Source organism: Homo sapiens, chromosome 1, assembly GCF_000001405.40.
Source record: "Homo sapiens chromosome 1, GRCh38.p14 Primary Assembly".
NCBI lineage: Eukaryota > Metazoa > Chordata > Mammalia > Primates > Hominidae > Homo > Homo sapiens.
Genome location: NC_000001.11, coordinates 84,242,317 through 84,262,018, shown reverse-complemented (window position 1 = coordinate 84,262,018; position 19,702 = coordinate 84,242,317). Strand labels below are relative to the sequence as shown.

The window sequence follows — 19,702 nt, the reverse complement described above, 5'->3', positions numbered from 1 at the left end:
ATGCATGTATCATATTTTGTCTATCCATTTATCTGTCAGTGGACACTTGTGTTGCTTACATCTTTTGGCTATTACGAATAATGCTGCTATGAGCCTGGGTGTATAAATACCTGCTTTCAATTATTTTGAGTACATACTCAGAAGTGAAATTATTGTATCATATGTAATTATATTTTTAATTTTTTGATGGAAATATCATGCTGTTTTTCACAAGGGCTGCACCATTTTACATTCTCACCAGCAATGTACAAGGGTTCTAGTTTCTCCAGGTCCTCAGCAATACTTGTTATTTTCTGTTTGGTTTGTTTATTTTATATAGTAGCCATCTTCATGGGTGTAAAGTGGTATCTCATTGTGGTTTTGATTAATATTTCCCTAATGATTAGTGATGTTGAGCATATTTTCATGGGCTTGTCGGCATATCTTCTTTGGAGAAATGTCTATTCATGTCCTTTGCCCATTTTTTAAATCAGGTTGTTGTTTTGTTGTTAAATTGAGTAGAAAATCTGATTTTTTAATGATCTTTCCCAGATGTTAAATATTGACATTAAGATTTCCAAATGTTAAATATTGGGGAAAAAAAAAACAAAACAAAAAACCAACTGTGGAGATCAAACAAATCACATCAGCCAGGTGACTCTGGCCTAAGGGCTGCTGGTTGGTTCACCACCTCTTTCTCAGACAGGCACTGAGGAGTGTTGTCTAGAAAACAAAGAGCAGTGGGAAGGACTGAATGATGGGCACCTGCATTGTGGGGCTTCTGCTGAACACATTTAGTGCTTTCCAAAGTCCCATTTTCCCTCCTTTGTTACAAAAGCCAAAATCCATGTGCCTGACCTGTGTTTACCTTGGCAATGAAAGCAAATGATATATTTGGCTTTATTTAAGGGAGGGCCTCACCTGGTGGTGGGGCGGTCAGAGAAAATTTCCCATCATCTGAATGAGAGACATTGAGCCCTTTGCCCTACTCTACTACTTTTCACCAGCAAATATTCCTTTGTAAGGCATCTGTTGACTCACTCTGTTTACAGAAGGGGAAAATGGCACGTTGATATGGAAGTATATTAACTAGATAACTCAAGAAGACAGCAACTGACCTCCACACTGATCTCTCCAGTTCTGCTGGGAAATGTGCTTTGAGTGGGCTCAGTGATAACGTCCTGAACTGGGAGGTCCTAAGATTGATTTCTGTGGCTGCTACTAGATTGCTGTGTAAACTTACTGCTCTGAGCTCAGTTTCTGCTCCCATAAAATAGGCTTAATAATACCTTCCAGAGGGGCTTTTGCTAAGAGAAAATAAGATTTTTTAAAAGTATAAATTGTTTTTAAACATAATATTTTTCTCAGCCCTGGTTAATTCTCATTTTTCCAGGTAGTCCTAGTCCTGGGGACAAGTAGAGGAGTGGGTAATGCTTGTAATGGTATTTGGTCTGAGCCTCTTGAGTGTTATACTAAAATTCTGAGACCTCTCAACCTTGCTTTTTTAGGGCCAATCATGGTTTTTTTTCTGCCGTAACCATGATTGTCCTTGACATTCTCCACTTGGCAGCCTGCATGCTTCTCCTGGCTCCCCAGCCCACCCCTGGCAAAGGTAATGCTGCCATTAGCCAGGGTGGCCCCTGTCCTTTGTGATCCACACCACAGCAAGCTCAGCACTCATGCCTGAAGCTCCTGTGCACACCTGCTCAGGGCTGAGTGTGGGCATCTCCCCACAGGCAAGCACTGTTCTCCAGGATAAGGTCTCTGGAACTCAACTACAGGCTCTTTAAAGGAGGAAAACATTCTCACAAACCTTGAAGATATTTTTGAGGACCTCCAGGAATATTTGGATCCCAATTTAGGGAATGCTGTTCATTCTAGAACACCGTTCTAGGATGTTCCAGTTATGGGAAGCAGGAGGGGAAGTGACAGACAAAGGCCTGTCTTTACACACACCTCAGCCCCTCTCCTTGCTAGCTGTGTCACCTTGGGCAAGTTTATCAGCATCGTGGGCTTCAATGTCCTCTTCTGCAAAATTAGGCTAATAAGACCCATCTTATCAATGTGATGAGAGGGCTAAATGAGATGTCAAATTTAATGTGCCCTATATTCAGTAGGAACATCACAAAAGACAGTTGAAAGCTAACAGGGAGAAAAGCACAAGGGACAGGGCCATGAAGCATTTGCCAGGCGCCAGCCAAAGGTGCAGCTTGCACAGTCGTCATCTCTAATGTGCCAGGGACCAGAATAGTCCGAGCACTGGGCAATGTGAGGCCACTCAATGAGTTTCCTGTCTACAGTGGGGGGTTTCCTGAGATGTGGTGGGTCATGTCACCTCAACCCTGTGTCACAGAGCTCACCTGCTGTTCCTCTTCATCTTTTCTCTTGGGAGGCTTGAGAGCCCTTGTACAAATACAACTCCTGGGGATCTGCCTGATAGCCTAATTGCTCCAGAATGGGTAGGAAGATTGGGCTCCCCACTGTGCCCTTTCTACACAAATGGCCATAGCTATCATTATTCAGGACTGAGCCTGTGGAGAAAATTGTACAATTGCGCAGATTATGGCTATGACAAATTCATGGTTTTCAAAGTCAGTTAACTCGTAACAATCTTTTTGTCACTATCAGCTCCTTCTCCTATTCCCTCTGCTGCTCTTCTAAACCTTAACTCTTTCCCACCAGTCTCCCAACTGACCTCCACTCCCACCCTCTCTGCACAGGCACCGGCCTCCACTTCTGTGGAGAAACCCAGTGTGCTAGGGCTCATTGTCATGCCTGCATCTTCAAAGTTGTCTACTTTGGCACCAGCCCTTCCCTCCTCCCCTCTAGTCTGAGGAGATAAGAGGCACTTCTTTCTGTTCAAGAGCAATCCTTCTTTAGTAGACTCATATTCTTTCTGCCTTTCTGGTGTCCCTTCTCTGGCCAAGAAGCCCAAACTGCCATTTGGAACCACCCTCTTCTGTTCTCAGCCCATGTGGTTGAGTTGGCATAGACCCCACTCCTCCCCTGCCCCAGAGGTGGACATGTGACCATTCAGGGCCAATCAAGACACTGTTTCCCCCTGGGCAGAGTTTTTGGGTCAGAAGAGATACATACATAAGCCTGGGTCAACCAGAGTCCACCCAGTCTTGACAGAGCCATTGAAAGGCAGGCTACTTATTTTACTGAAACAGTGGGCCTTAAGGACCATATAATGATGGACATAGTGAGCACCATTTTTCTACCACATGGATGCAGACTGCCTGAGAATGAAGTCAATAGAGAGGAAAGTGAAGCCGAGAGAGAGGAAAGAAGCGGGAAGGGGAGAGAGAAGATGTAGAGAAGAGACAGAGGGACAGGGAGACAGAGGGAGAGAGAGAGTCCTGAGGACATTTTGCTGAGTCTTCAGAGGCAGTGTTTCCTGAGTTTTTTCAGTTACATGGGTTGGTCAGTTCTCCTTTTCTCTTAAGCTGGTAGAGTTTATTTTACTTGCAACTAAAGAGGACTGGAAATATACTTTATCTGGACTGTAAATGTCACTAGGAAAGGACTATGTCTGTCTGTGTTGTTTATTCCCAGACTTAAGACTGTGTCTGGCACACAGTAAGTGCTCAATAACTAGTTATTGACTAACCCCATCTATGACTAGTGTTGATCCCATCTCTTCACCTTACCTTCATCTTTGTTGCTTTCATTTTATTTCCTATGTTTTAAGACTCTCCCTTTCTCAGATAATATATTTGCTCAAGTCTCTAATCCTAAAAATAAAAACCAAGTATTCAACTAAACAAACAAAACAGAAATCTTCCTTCATTATGGCATTTCTTCCTAGCACCCTGACCTACTTTCCCATCTTGTCTGAGACTTTCTGAAGCATATTCTTAACCCACTGCCACCTGGTTTCTGTCTCGACTCTTTCACCGTTGTTACAGTTTTCTCTGACATCACTGACATGAACGCATATAGCTCTCCCTTTCACCCACTCATTCAATCCACGCAGTCGTTGAGCCCCCCTTCCTCATAGAAGGCAGGATGTCCCTCATTTTCCCAGACTCTACCCTCTGGATCTCAGTTCATGGGGCTTCCTTTTGCTAAAAGTGTGGCTTGGAATTCTAGCCTTCTATTCACAGACTATTTGGAATTCTTCTCTTGCAGTGGGACTGTGGCAGCACAGCACAGATTCTCCTTAGCCTTGGCAACTTTTCCCATGTGGCAAAGTAGATCAGGCTTTCATCATCTAGCATGTCCGGGGCCCACATGATGTCATGTTTTGACGTTTATAAGTAGGCCAAGCCTCCAAGGAGGATGGCTATTGTGCCTCAGCCTTCTCCCCTTGACCACAAGACTGCTTCTTTTAGCTCAGCAAGTATCAGAGGCCAGTCTCTAATGTTAGATCTTTAGGTGTTGAACTGGGAATATGCTCTGCAACACCCAGGATTAGGATAGAGATGGATTTCATTTTATATGGGCTAGCATATTATTATTAAAGACCATTTCAGGAGTGGGACTGTGAAAGGAGGTGCTCTGTTATCTGGTCCAAGAGCTCCTCTGGGAATTAATCCTGGCTGGTTCTGATGAGCTGGCAAGGAGCAGAGGATTGCAGTCTTTAAGTAGAAAATTAGAACCCCATCCATGTAACAAGTGAACGTGCATTAAATAGCTTGAATTGTTTAATTTATAGGAGCTTACGAGAGAAAAGATCTCTGCTCATTCTGCTAGCTTTAGAAAACAATAGAGTCCTTGAATGGTTACATTCATTTATCTATTCAACAAATATTTAGCAAGCGCCTACAACCTGCAAGGAGTTTATTATCTACATAAGGACAAAAAGTTCAGATAAATGGCTTTAATAGAATGTGCTATTAAATTTTAAATGGGTTTTCTTCTGTTAAAAGGCCACAAGGAGCCTTAAAAGTGGGCATTATTAAGTCAACAGTGTGAAGTGCTCATTTAGCTAATAAAACACCAGCCCATCTCACTGGCTGTATATCAGAGTCTAGAGCAGTAGCCTGCAGTGAACCTGGGAATTGGTCTTTCTGACAATGTCCTTGGGTGATTCTGATGTGCCTCTAGGTTTGATCATTGATACAGTTCATCATTTGCCATCATAACTGGACTTGACATCTCAGTGTCATTTGATGGTATCTCATTCTTGAAAATGGGCCATGTCTTGATTCTCTAACTGCATTCCTGGTTCTCTCCTCTCTTTCTGGTTTTTTGTCAATCTCTTCCCCTGGCTTCTGCTTTCCCACCAGCCATGCATTAGTTTTCTAGGGTTGCTAAACTACCTCAAACTTAGTGGCTTGAAGTCACACAAAGTTGCTATCTTATAATTTGGTAGGTTAGAAGTTCCATCCAGGGCTGACTGGGCTAAAATCTAGGTGTTGGCTGGGCTGCATTCCTTCTGGAGCCTCTAGAGGAGAATGTTTCCTTCCCTTTCCCAGCTTCTAGAGGCTGCCCACATTCTCAGTTCGTGGTCCTCTTCCATCTTCAAAACCCGTAATGGCTGGCCAAGTCTTTCTTGCATCGCACTGCTCTGACTGCGCTTCTGTACTCACAACTCTTTCTCTACCTGCTTTTCTTCCTCCCTTTTTCATTTTTAAGGTTCTTCTATTCTTCCATCTTCAAAGCCAGCAACATCCGGGCCAAGTCCTCCTTAAAGATTTTTGTGATGATATTGGGCCTACTTGGGGAAGCCAGAATACTCTCCCTGTTTTAAGGTCAGCTGATGAGCAGCCTTAATCTCATCTGCTGTCTTCATTTGCTCTTTGCCGTGCCTCATAAGCTATTCACAGATTCTGGGGATTTGGCCATGGACATTTTTGTGGGGGGCCTTCTATTGCTAAAGCCTCTTTATTATTGTTCTTCTGTAGCCCTCTCTTTGCAAACTCAGACCTACAGGGGCCAACAGGCAGTGTAAGTGAGTGAAGCTGGATAGGGAAACACAAGTGTTGAACTGGATGCTCATTTTTGCTATGTGAGAATGTGGGCCCAGCATTGCCAGATCTGATTTTTTTGGAAGAGCTAAAACTTTAGATTTTCTTTAATATGTCCCCCAACTTTTAAATGTTGGCAATGAATTTAAATATTTCAAGGCATTATGCAGGCCAAACCAAACATATCTGCTGCTGTATTTGGCCTTGGGTTGTCCATTTGTAACCTCTGCTCTTTTTGCTCCCCTTGGAAATGATCACATTATGTCTAAGGATAATGTAGTGTGCACAATGACTTGTAAGCCTATCAGTCCAGCCAGACCTCTATGATAAGCTGAGAACAACATCTCCAACTACATGCTGGACAGCCACACTGACTTATTATCTCCCTATACAAACCTGCTGCTCAAGCCTAAAACCTGAGAGTCTCTTGCTTGCTAATCCAATGGTCTCCAACTCCTGCAATCCATTCCCTTCTTTGCACATTACCTAGGGCCTTGATTACCTCTTTACTGGATTATAACAACTCTCTTTTAATTCATCTGTTAGGATCCATTCTTCTTTCTGATTTCAGCCTGCCTTAGTCAGTCAGCTTCAGCTGCTATAATAAGACACTGTAGACTGGGTGGCTTATAAACAAGACATTTATTTCTCACAGTTCTAGAGGCTGGACATCTGAGATCAGAGTGTCCTCACAGTCAGATTCTGGTGAGGGGTCTCTTCCAGGTTACAGACTTGAAGACATGACTATTACTATTTTCACATGGCAGAAGGAAAGCCAGTTAGCTCTCAAGCCTCTTATTATAAGGGCAATGGTCCCATTTATGAGGGCTCCACTCTCATGACCTAATCACCTCCCAAAGGACCCACCTCCAAATACCATCACATTGGGGATTCAATTTCAACCTATGAATTTTTGGGGAACACATTCAGTTCATAAAACAACCTAATCTCTAAAAGGCAGCTCAGATCACATCATGTCTCTCCTCTACTTAACATCCTTCAGTGGTTTCCAACAATGTACAGGATGAAGTCCAAAGTCCTTAGTATGGCATTCCACGCCTCTTATGATATGACTCTGCATTACCCTCCAACCTAATTTCTTACCACTTTCTCATTGCTATCTGGTGTTCCAGTATTACAGAACATTAGTTGCAGCTCCCTATACATAAGGGTATAAGAGAACACTTGCTGTTCTCTCTGACTGGTATGCCCTTCCTCATTGATATGCATGGAGACCTACTCATCCTTAAACAAAAGGCCAGCTCTTTGTGAACTGTTCCCTGACTCTTTCCTTGATGCAACTTCCACAGCCCTTTCTCCAGGCTATCACTGTGTTTTGATTATGAGTTTTTATTGCACCCATCTCATGTGACTTTAATTTTTTGTTCACATGCATGTCTCCCATCTTTGTGTCTTAGCGTCTTTGTATTAGGAGTACTTAGCACAGGGCCCTCACAATGGACATGCCTAGTAATGTTTCTGAATGAACAAGTGAATGAATGAAGTCATACTAGACAGATGGCATCTGTCCTGTTTATGATCAAAATTACCCCCAAGGAGGTGTAATTCTTTGATGAGTTTCTCGTTCCTCTCTTTGAACAAGTTGCTATATTCCACCAGCCGCAGAAGTGCTTCGAGTGATTTCAAATGCAGAATTCAAAATTGGCTGCCAAGAGATGCCACTTCATTTCCTTTCTAGAATAACATGATTTTCCCCATAACCCAGACAAAATAACAACCCTTGGCTAATGTTTCATATAAGGGGATTTTTCAGAAGGGATAAAAGGGTTAACAGGAGTGGAATTTGGCTTTGCTTATTTCCTCCGTGTTTCCTTGGTGTTCCCAGGTGTTCCTGTCCAGGTATGAAGCCTCCTGTGTAGAGTGCACAGGGGAAGGCCACTCCAGGTCAGGCTTTTAATCCCATGGTGATGCCATCTCAGGAAGTGCCAGCACCCTGTGAACCTTGCAGGATTCTGCAATACAGTCATAGATCTGGGCAAGGACCACAGTTTACACAGCATTGCTCTCTCAGACGGAGACAGGATTAGTCATCCGTCTAAAAATGGAAGGAACAGGCATAAAGGGGCACTTGTCTTCACAGGGAGCCCAGCCAGCAAAGCCTGTAGACCGACTAGAAGAGCTGGGCCGAAGATCAGCCTCAAGGGTGCTCCCCCAGGCACTCAGTCTGTCCAACTGTAGGGCAGATGCCAGGTGCAGAAAAGAAAAACCAGATCCTGGACGTACATAGTTACTAAACGCCACATTTTTGATTTTGAAGTTTTATCTTCCCTGTGTCCCTGAGCATATTATCTACCTGTCTTCCTTGAGGGAAAGAGAAAAGAATGAATGTCCACTGGATACCTACTATGAACCAAGACATGTTCTAGATGGTTTTCCTTTCTAAATGTATTTTAATTGTATTAGCATTTTTAATCTCCATTTTACAAATGAGGAGAGTGGGGATCAGAGAGGCTAAGTCACTAGCTCAATTTTACACAACCAGTAGATGATAGAGCCAAGATATGGTTCTAGGGAGATGCTATCTTAAAGTCCATGCTTGTTCCATTTTTGCTACTGCTGATACAGTTGTAAAAATCAAATTTTGGGGTTTGTGTACCAGAATCAACAGCTAATATTACCCACCCACTTATAACCTTATTGGGCCAATGGGTTCAGAGTATTCTCAGCCCAACATTTGGGCAATCAGTCACTATATATTATGTGAAGAAACTGCAGGTTGATCCAAAGAGGCCTAAGACCCAGCCCCTGCCTGCCAGGTTCACACTACCTGATGTGACACAGACAGTGAGGAAAAGGCAATGTGATAATACAGGAGCTGTCTCAAAAAAGCACGTCAGCAATTCCACACATATCTACAATCACGCACACAATGATGGTGATCTCATGTGTGATACACTCCCCTGGGTATTTGTGGGGCCATAGCTATCATTCTTTTTTTGCCCATGCAGGAAAGTGTGTTGTACTAGAATGCAAGTAACTAGGAAAATGCTGTTAAAGGGATTACTCAAATCTGCTTTAATGTTAAATCACAATAAATCAATGAGGATCTTTGGTGTTTTAGTTATTAGTAACTAAATACCAACTGCTGTCTCACAACAGATGACAGTACATTCATGTGCTCAGAGCCATTGTACCTGAGAACCACTGCAGTGGTCAGCCAAATGTCTAGTGTGGACAAAACATGCTGTAAGCTGAGAGGAAGGGGAACTCAAGGGGCCTGAAGCAGACTGGGATAACTTATGGGAAAGTGCAATGACTTAGACCAGTGCCTAGCATAGTGCCTGGCATGTGGAAGAGCTTAACAAAGGAAATGAAAAATGCAGGGCATACATGGGTCTTATGCCAAACAGCTGCAGATGCTGGCCAGTCACTCCCAAAGTCCAGCACAAGGCAAGGCCCCTTTTCCCCCATGCAATGAGGATATACAGATAAACCCTGCCCTCTCCCTACCTGCAAACATGTCATCTTAGTTGAAGAGTCAGGTGGAAGAGGTGTTCTCTGAGAGACTATTTTCTAAGAAGATGCTTGATTTATCAGACTGGATTATGCTTGAAAATGAATAGTATAAACACTAATTATTTCCTCCCTTAGCCAGCTGGTGGGGGCTTGGGAGAAAAGCCAGACTGATAAGGGATAAAGTAAAGGAGCTACATTTTCTCTGCCCTGAGTGAAATGTGAAATAAACTTTGTGACTCAATTACATTCATATTGCTATTTGCTGATTTTTCCTTTCTAGATATTATCTTATATCCCCAAGTCCCCCTCTCCTTCTTCATCCTAATTATTTTTAATAGTCAACACCAATATCTTTAGTTCTTTTGTGGATACCTTTGTGTAACTTCATACCTACTTAAATATCTCTTTCTTGTTCTATTAACGTTCAGTGATGTCTCTGAGCTCTAATTTTGTAAGACAGAGGCCCTCTTCCATCTGTTACGTCTTCCACCTTGTAATTTCTGTCATTTGGATCATTAATGTTTATCTTCTGTTCTGTAACCATATTTTAGTCTTATTTTACATTATATGTAGGTTGATTCTAAAAGGTTGAGAACCAAAAATAAATTTATGCAATTTTAAGTGTGGAAATATTTTTTTACGGCAGGGCTACATGTCAATATCATAACTCCGCTTCTCTCAGACTGCAGCTAGTACACAGCTGCTACTATAAGAACTACTACAGACTTAGTGGCCTAAAACAACACAGATCTACTATAGTTCTTAAGGCATAAATCTGCCATGGGTCTCATTGGGCTAAAAGCAAGGTGTCAGTAGGACTGGTTCTTTTTGGAGGCTCTAGGGAGGAATTCGTTTATTTGCCCTTTCCAGCTGTTAGAGACCACCTGCTCTCTTTGTTTTATGGTCCCCTTCCTCCATCTTGAAAACCAACAAACACAGAATTTCTCTATATCTTCTTCCAGCATCACATCTATCTCTGACCATAGCCTGGAAAGGTTCTCTGTTATTAAGAACTCATAGGATTCAACTGGGCCTACCTGGAAAATCCAGGATAATCTCCCCATCTAAAATTTCATAATCAGGCTATTATCCTAAGTGAATTAAGACAGGAGAAGAAAACCAAATATGGCATGTTCACACTTATAAGCGGGAGCTAAGCACTGGGTAAACGTGACATAAATATGGGAACAATACACACTGGGGACTACTAGAGGGAGGAGAGGAGAAGAGCAAGGGATGAAAAAGTACCTATTGGGTACAGTGCTCACTACCTGAGTGATGGGATCATTCACCCCTAAACCTCAGCATTACACGATATAGCCATGTAACAAACCTACGTGCATATTCCTTAATCTAAAATAAATGTTGAAATTATAAAATAAATTTTGAAATTATAAAATAAAATTTCCTAACTTTAATCACATATGCAAATTCCTTTTTGCCATGTAAAGCAATATATTCACAGATTTCAAGGATTAGGACATGGGCATATTTGAGGAACCATTGTTCTGCTTGTAATACAAAACAAAATGTTTCTAGTGTTAAAAAAAATGAGTTCTCCTTATGTACCATCAATTCAACGCAAGGAAGAGTTCAGTGAGAGATTAATCAAACTATCAAAATTCAAAGACAAAGAAAGAATTCTGAATGCAGCAAGAGAAAAGAAACATACTACATACAAGGGAGCCCTAGTTCAATTATTATGGGATTCCTCAGCAGAAATCTTGCAGGCCAGAAGAGAATAAGATGATATATTCAAAGTGTTGAGGAAAAAACCTGCCAACCAAGAATTCTTTACCTGGCAAACCTGTTCTTCAGAAATGACGGAAAAATAAAGGCTTTTGCAGATAAACAAAAGCTAAAAGCATTCATCACCACTAGATCTGTCTTAAACCATAAATTTAAAATTTATGAAGCAAAATGCTCCACTAACAAAATTTAAAAATAAATAATATTCTGGAAAAAATGTTGCAATATGTACTACAAAAGATTACTCTCTGGTATACATAAAATAGCTCTTGCGAAAGACAACCCAAACACAAATTAGAACAAAGAACATAAACAATTAGTAGAAAAAATGTAAATGGCAAATAAAACCATATTAGGAATCTGAATCAAGGAAAGGCAAGTGAATAGAAGGTGAAACAATGTAAAAAAAATGAGAGAGGTAACTTTTCACACAGTTGCTTGGAGATTGGAGGAAAACAACCAATATAAATATGTGAAAGATGTAGAATGTAAGAAATAGTGGGTTTGAAACAGGAGTTCAAGGACAAGAAATTCAGGTGAAAACATAACAGCAGGACTAGAAAGTATTTTATCCTACAAGTCTCTTAAACTATTATATTTTACACACTTTTAACCTCTCTATGCTGCATTTGAGTTGTTTATTCATTTCTTTCCAGTTTGCAAGATCTGTCTTCATTTGTGTATAGGTAGCTACGCAATAGTCTTCTGTTTTACTTCCCAATGGTTATGTTTTGTTTCTAGAATTTCCATTTGGTTCTTTTCCCAGTCTTCCATCCTTTAAAAATTTAGTAAGATAAATTACTTTGTTTTTTGTTTTATTTCCTCAAATTTTTGGAGTGCTGATTTCCTTTTTTTTTTTTTTATATTTGCCAACTTTCCCTTATGATAGTTGATTTCCTTATGTGATTTGCAAGTTTTTTAACATCAGTTTTTAGGTTTATTTTTTCAGGCGAAATATTGGGTTATGAAAGCATGACCATCATAAGAATTTGCATTTGTATCTGACAAAGGGGTTTAACTAGCCAGACAAGTGTCTATATCAATTGCTCTGCTTGAAGTCTCACACTGTACATTTGATCCCATATTTCTGTAAGTTCCAGGCTTGGAGATGTGATTTCTCGAACTTTTTTTTTTTTTTTCCCTACCTTTACCACCAAATGACAAACTTCTTTTCTGCCATTGGCCAAGGATGAAGGTTGGATACTTCTAGTACCCTTTTCATTGATATTCAGTTTTTAGACTGCAAGTTTAATGCACAAGTATCCATCACCGTTACTCTTTTTGTGTGTGCCTAAGGCAACATCTTTTGACCTAGTGGGCAATAAAACTCCAATGGCCAGTTCCTAGAGCTTCTAGCCACTTCACTATCTCCATGAACCACAAGAGTATCAGCTTTGGCTTGCACCATGGCTTTGAGTACCCCTTTCACTTATAGCACCTGGAAATTTTCTTTATTTTTTTTTTGAAAATTTCTGAGCATTTGAGCTGTTGTTCTGTTTTGCCCAGCATTTCTATGTTTTTATTTATTGATAGAAGCATTTCCACATTGTCTCAGTCCAGAAGTGTCATTTTTTAGATTTAATATGATCATTTGGTTAAGATTTTCCCAGAAATCTCATAGTCCTTGTTGTTTTCAATAATTATTATGAAATATTTAAGGTACACAGAAATGTACACAAATACAATTAACATCCTTATATGTGTCATCCGGGTTAAGAAAGGAAGCACTAATAATAAAATAAAATAGAATAATACACAGGATAATTCCTGTGCCCCCAGCTCCTGAGTTTCATCTCCATTTCTTTTCTTTTCTCCACCCTATAGGTAACCATTACCCTTCATTTGGTGTTTATCATTTCCATGCACTTCTTTTAATTTTTCAATTTACAATATTAGCCAAAGGAGCACTTTAATGTTCCAGGCACTCTTGCAAGAGCTTTAAAAATGCTAACTTCTTATATCTTCTATAAGATAGGTATAATTATTATTATTATTATTATTCCCTTTTTTTTTTTTTGAGACGGAGTTCACTCTCTTCGCCCAGGCTGGAGTGCAATGGTGCGATATCGGCTCACTGCAACCTCCGCCTCCCGGGTTCAAGTGATTCTCCTGTCTCAGCCTCCTGAGTAGCTGGGATTACAGGCATCCACCCCCAGGCCCAGCTAATTTTTGTGGTTTTAGTAGAGACGGAGTTTCACCACGTTGGTTAGGCTGGTCCATTTTGCTGGTGAGAAGAGTCCATAGAGATTAAGTAACTCTTCCACAGACACACAGTTGGTGTTCATGTACAATTTGAACCCAGTTAGTTTGGCTTCATAATCTTTGCAATTAATTAACCACTATGCTGCTACATATATGTATATCCTTAAATATTATAGTAATAATAATAGTCTTATTTCATAAGAAATCAAACTTTACATAAACTGTATATTTAGAAAATTTTCTGCAATTATCTTTTTTCCATTCAGCATTATACTTCTGAAGTTTATCCATATTGATGTTTGTAGGTCTAATTCATTATTTTCTCACCTGTATATAATTTAATCATGTAAATTTACCTCTACTTATTTATTCATTTTCATTTCCATGGCTACTTAGATTGCTTCCAATTTTTTGCTACTACAAATAATTTTGCAAAGAACATTTTAAATACCTATCTCCTAGTAGACAAATGAGTTTTCCTAGGCTATATTTCTATAAGTGAAACATGTGGTCACAGGACATGTGCTTAGGCAATGTTATTAATACTAGATTTTGCCAAGTTTTCCTTTTAAAATGGTTGACCAATTTACATTTCCAATGCAGCGTATGAGAGCTTTTTTTGATTGCTCCACGTCTTTGCTATAGTTATATCATTAGGCTGTTCAGTTTTTGCCCAGCTGATGTGTACACAACAGAATTTTACTGTCATTTTACCCATTACATGCTTAACAGTTCGGCATATCTGTTCCACTTATCTATTGCTGCCTAGCAAATTACTCTAAACTTTAGCCTCTTAAAACAATCAGTTTTTGATGTTTAGAAATTTCATGGATCGCAAATTTAAACAGGTAACAAAAGAAATGGCTTATCTCTGCCCCAGGATGCCTGAGGCCTCAGCTGGGATCACTGACCACTGGGGGTGACTCAACGGATGGGGCTGGTATCATCTGGAGGAATCTTTACATATGCTGGCCATTGGTTCAGATTTCACATGAAGATACTACTGCTGTGAATACTATGTACGGCTTCTACGTTTGGCCTGGGCTTTCTCACAGCATTGTGCTTCACGATAGTTGAACTTCTTTCAGTTTTAGTATATGTGCTGCTGACGTAAGCACGATAGTTGAACTTCTTGTATGGTGACTCAGATCTCCGAATTAGAGTATCTCAGTAAACAAGGTTGAAGCTGTATTATTCTTTTATGACCCAGCTTTTATAAGTCACACTATTGCTTCTCCTGCACTATATGGGTTAGAAGTAAGTCAACAAGGTAAGCACACGTTCAAAGGGAGGGAAAATAGGAGAAATGTCCCCTCTTCTCAATAGGAGGAATGTCAAAGAATCTGCAAACAAGTTTAGAACTGCCATAATGTCCCACAAGTGTTTAGTCATTTTCCCTAAAATAACATTCACTTAACAAAGTATAGTTTGTTTTGAATAATATTTCACATTAATTACGTTATTGTTAAATGTCTTATTGTTAAAAAGTCTTCAAAATTTTTATTAAAAGATAAAAGTGGTGATGAATATAATGAAATTGATACTTTTAACTCATAATAATTTTTAAATCCTAAATTGTGAAGCTGATTCTATTGAGAATATTAATTTTGAATCTATGTATTAGGAGAAACAAATCTTTGAGTTTCATGATTTCTCACAAGTGGTAGAAAAATAAAAGTGGGAGGAGGAGGAAAAAGTCATAAATATTTGAGAGCAAGATCTTGTAGGATTGGGCAATTATTTGCTTCTCATCCATCATGTTGTTTATTAGGATAATTTCTTAACAAGTGGTATGGTATCAGTGAAATGTTACATCTATCACCCTCATCAACCCATAAAGTTTTCCCAAAACAACAGGAAATAATTATTTTATTTTAAAATAATTATTTTCTATACAAAATTGTTGGGTTTTATTTTTAAAGGTGAAGAAGAGATTTTAGTGAACATCGGCTATTTTCTTGTCTGACCAGCACATCTTTCTTTGGAGGACTACCCCTCTCCCAATGCACATAATTCTGATGAGGCTTTCAATCATGTATTTCTCTTTGTCCAGCCACAGAAGCAGGCTCTGACCCAGGCTGGACAATCAGAGTCCCTTTTCGGGCTTGATATAGTGCAGGAGACTTCCTTCTCCTTTAACTGGGACCAAAACTCTTTTGAAAGTGTGAGTCTGGAGTAGCTGGTGGTTTCATTTTCTGCCCCATGGAGAGTGCTTATTGAGGATGAAGTCAATTCTGAGGAAAGCATGGCCCAGAGGTGGAGAGAGAAAGGCAGAGTTCTGATTATATCTTCTGATCTTTTAGATCTTATTGGACAGAAGTCCCTCCTCAGCCTTCCTGGTTATGAGAGTCAGCTGCTGTTCTGTTTTTGCAAAAACGACTTTTCATTGTGTGGTCCGCCACTTGCTAGGGAGAGTGTGTTTGATCACTATCAATTCCAGAAGTACAAAAGCACGATTCAAAGTCTAACTCCTTAGCAAAAATCAGTACTGGACACACTATTATTAGGAAATCTGTAAAACCAGTCCCAAATAACTGACAAGTGATATCTATGGAGGGAAAGCAAAATTAGAAAAAGCTTATCAGTGGCATATAATCTAGAGCAATGTATTTTTACCTTAAAGCTAGGTAAGATGGCTGATGAGTAGATTCTGAATTGGATTTTAGGAGCTGGTGATATATGAAGGAAAAACACTCAGCAGCTTTTTATCACATGGAAAAAAACTTCTGTTTGGTTAGTGATTATTTTCTGAACCATGGTATAAACAGGAATAAGGTTATCAACAGATAAGTAAGTGACAAAGAAGGACATTGCTACTTGAATAAAAGAGGCTTTTTTTTGGATGTCCAATTAACCACATGATTTATTGACAGAAAACAGTCCAACTCAGCCATGTGCTTCCTGACTTTGACTCACTATTTAAAAAATAGTAAAAACTTTAATAAAAAGTTGGTTGTGTTGATTACGTGTTTTTAGCATATTGTGGTGAAGAAATTGGCAGTGAAGATAAGAGGGTTTTTTTTTTCCCTCACATGACGGTGGTCTGGCTGTTAAAAGAAAGGGTTCTCACGAGTTTGAGATATGAAGAATGAGAGGAAACATTTCTTCATGGCAATAATAATGCTAGAGAAGCCATTTTAGTGACATCTGGTGGCTTGCACAAAAGCATATTGATGATGTAGTATCACATTTTCCATCTTGAAATTAAAGGATCAGGCTGGGTGCGGTGGCTCACGCTTGCAACCTTAGCATTTAGGGACGCTGAGGAGGATGGATCACCTGAGGTCAGGAGTTCGAAACCAGCCTGGCCAACATGGTGAAACCCCATCTCTATTAAAAATACAAAAAAATTAGCCAGGAGTGTTGGCATATGCCTGTAATCCCAGCTACTTGGGAGGCTGAGGCAGGAGAATCAATTGATCCTGGGAGTACGAGGTTGCAGTGAGCCGAAATTGTACCACTGCACTCCAGCCTGGGTGACAGAGCGAGACTCTGTCTCAAAAAAAAAAAAAAAAAAAAAAAAAGAAATTAAAGAATCAAGATTTCTTAAGACTGAACTCTGGTGAAAATGGCTTGTTAAGAGTAGGACTCTTACAAGATTGATGATCTAAAAAAAATGTATTAAATCAATGCTCTGTTATTGGGCGTGTTTATTTTTATCTTTGATTAATTACTTTATCATTACAAAGAATGCAAACAACTCAACAAGGTATAAGGGAAGAATTAGGAAATAACCTCAAATCTCATACCATTGATAACATTATTACACTATTCTCGGTGCACATATTGAGACAGAAGGGTAGAGAGGTAGAGAGGTACCTAACTAGATAGCACTAATTTTTTTTTTTTTTCCAGGAGGCCAGGAAATATTTTATTGACAACCAGGGACACAGCCATAAGAGAGAGAAGCACACAGGACTCCAAACTAACATCCAATAGTCAGCAAGGGCCCTCTGGGCCAGGAATACTGAATCCTGGTGTCCTCACAGTCTCCCACCAGTAGACATACATTACTGGGCATCCAAGGGAGGGGGCAGTGGCTCTGGTGTCCCAGAGAGTGAGAGGATATATGATGCCTCATTACGAGCGACAGGGTAGGGAGGTAAAATGGAGGGTCCATCACTGCCTAAGACCACCTCCTCCTCTCAGAGCCAACACCAGGTGAAGGACTGAACCACCTAAAATCTTGTAATCAGCTGCTGTCTTCTCATCATTCATGTTTGCCACTGTAGATGAGCCTCTGCTGTTGTGGAGGGATTCCCTCTTTCTCCTCCACATGCTCCTTGATTCACTCCACCTTGTCTGTAGGTTCAATATCAATCTCAGTCTCCTTTCCAGTTAGTGTCTTCACTTTAATTAGCATCTTCTTTCCAGTTTGGGGCTGCACACGGATAAATTGCTGCTCCTACCACTCCGGTCGCCACTGCTGCTCTTCCAGATAGCACTGATTTTATAAAATTGTATTATACTTTTTTTTTTTGAGACAGAGTCTCACACTGTTGCCCAGGCTGGAGTGCAGTGGCGTGGTCTCAGCTCACTGCAACATCCACTTCCCAGGTACAAGTGATTCTCCTGCCTCAGCCTCTTGAGTAGCTGGGACTACAGGTGCACACCACCAAGCCCAGCTAATTTTTGTATTTTTAGTAGAGACAGGGTTTCACAGTGTTGGCCAGGATGGTCTCGATCTCTTGGCCTTGTGATCCACCCGCCTTGGCTTCCCAACCTGCTGGGATTACAGGCGTGAGCCACTGGCGCCTGGCTTATACTTTTTAATATAAAGTGTTCAGTTTAATTTTGTCTATATTACAAAATCTAATTCACTAGAAAAAACTGAAATGAAAATAAATTTAACGCAAGGAAAAGAAGTTGAAGGGAAAATGAAAACTGTTTATATATGTTCCTTCCTCACAAAAAAATTACAAAACCATAAAGAAAAAATTGAGAGGTTAGAGTTATTATCTTATTTAATCCACTTCAATTTTAGACTCCATTAATTGACATCCTGCTATAAAATGTATGGATGTTAGAAGTTTTCTACCTTCTCTCACTTCTTTCTTTCTCTACCTTCCAACTTTGTTAGTTATATTATTCTAAGTTTGCCAAGGTTTAAAACATTTACATTCAGTTCTATGATTGTAATCATCATAGGTGCTTATAATTAGAACTACATTAAGACAGATTCAGAGTTTACCACAAGCTTTACATCACTGCTTCTATATTACTACATTCTTCATTTGGTTTTCTATAATTTTTCTTTTTGATATTTAAAGGTGTCTGCTTTGTGCCTTTAAATTAAATGCAACTTGGCTGGGTATAATATTCTTGGCTTATACTTTCTTTTCCCTAGAACTTTATAGCCATTATGTAATTATCTTTTGGCATGGAATATTATTGTGGAGACTTCTGAGGCCAGCCTGGTTCCCTCCCCACCCCCACCCCCAGTCTTGGGGGTTGATTTTTATGCATAATATTTTAATTGTTAAAATGCAAAACCTTCACCAGAATATGGTTTGGTGTTGAAAGCAGTATGTCAATTTTTCCTGAAAAACAGGTGTTCTTTCAGCATGTAAATTTAGTTCTTCTTTCATTTTGGAGATGAACTTTCTGTATGATATATTTGAATAATTTTTCTATTGTATTTATTAGCTTCTTATACTAACTGTGGATCATCTTTGTTTTCAATATCCATTACCATCTCTGAATTTTCTTTAATCTTTTTATTTTGCATTTGCTGAAATTATCTCACTATAATAAAAGCCTTTTCTGTATATTAGTGTCTGTGGCTTCAGCCACCACTTAACACCATTTCCATTCTGCGTCTGGTGTCTGGAGACGTTTATCTTGTTCTGAGTGCAATGTATGTCATTAAAGATATTTTAAAACATGCTCTATCATTGTATCAGCGTGTTTGGGGAGGGAGAGTGGAGGGAGGAAAGGATGGGTTTGTGTTTTTAAAGTTTTAACCTGACCACAATTCTCTTCTAAGTTTTACAAGCTATTCTGTAGCTAAATTCTTATTCCTAATGATGTTTATTTGGGGGGTTTGTTTCTCTTTTTTTATTTCTTTCCTTCAGATTTCCCTGAGGCTGTTTCTTCTTTGTGGGACCATTTTCCTAAAGCACAATTTTGGAATTCCTTAATGAGAATCTATTGGTAGTAAATATTCTCTTTCATTTGGAATGGTCTTCATTTTACCATTGTTGTTTCTTTTCATAGAGTGATGGCTAGGATTATTCAGTACAACGTAGAAGGGAGTGGTAACACTGGAAATGTCAATTGGTTGTCCAGTCAGGAAAATAAAAACCATTCTTGGTATTTCAACTGAGAAAATGTATTAATAGAATAATTTTGTTACAGAGGTCATGACGAATAGAGAGCCA

The 19,702-nt window shown here is 39.6% G+C and overlaps 1 pseudogene, besides 3 other annotated features; it reads right to left on the bottom strand.

The window, feature by feature from the left end:
• Positions 2,232-2,733: an enhancer, noted in NCBI's record as "NANOG hESC enhancer chr1:84724969-84725470 (GRCh37/hg19 assembly coordinates)". NCBI's record gives its function as "activates a minimal SCP1, AML or CMV promoter by ChIP-STARR-seq in naive H9 embryonic stem cells {active_cell/tissue: H9 hESC(naive)}" and the evidence as "EXISTENCE:reporter gene assay evidence [ECO:0000049][PMID:30033119]".
• Positions 6,812-7,410: an enhancer, noted in NCBI's record as "OCT4-NANOG hESC enhancer chr1:84720292-84720890 (GRCh37/hg19 assembly coordinates)". NCBI's record gives its function as "activates a minimal SCP1, AML or CMV promoter by ChIP-STARR-seq in naive H9 embryonic stem cells {active_cell/tissue: H9 hESC(naive)}" and the evidence as "EXISTENCE:reporter gene assay evidence [ECO:0000049][PMID:30033119]".
• Positions 7,779-8,073: an enhancer, noted in NCBI's record as "tiled region #3408; K562 Activating non-DNase unmatched - State 23:Low". NCBI's record gives its function as "activates a minimal TATA promoter and a strong SV40 promoter by Sharpr-MPRA in K562 cells {active_cell/tissue: K562}" and the evidence as "EXISTENCE:reporter gene assay evidence [ECO:0000049][PMID:27701403]".
• Positions 17,172-17,768, bottom strand: NEDD8P1 (NEDD8 pseudogene 1; annotated as a pseudogene).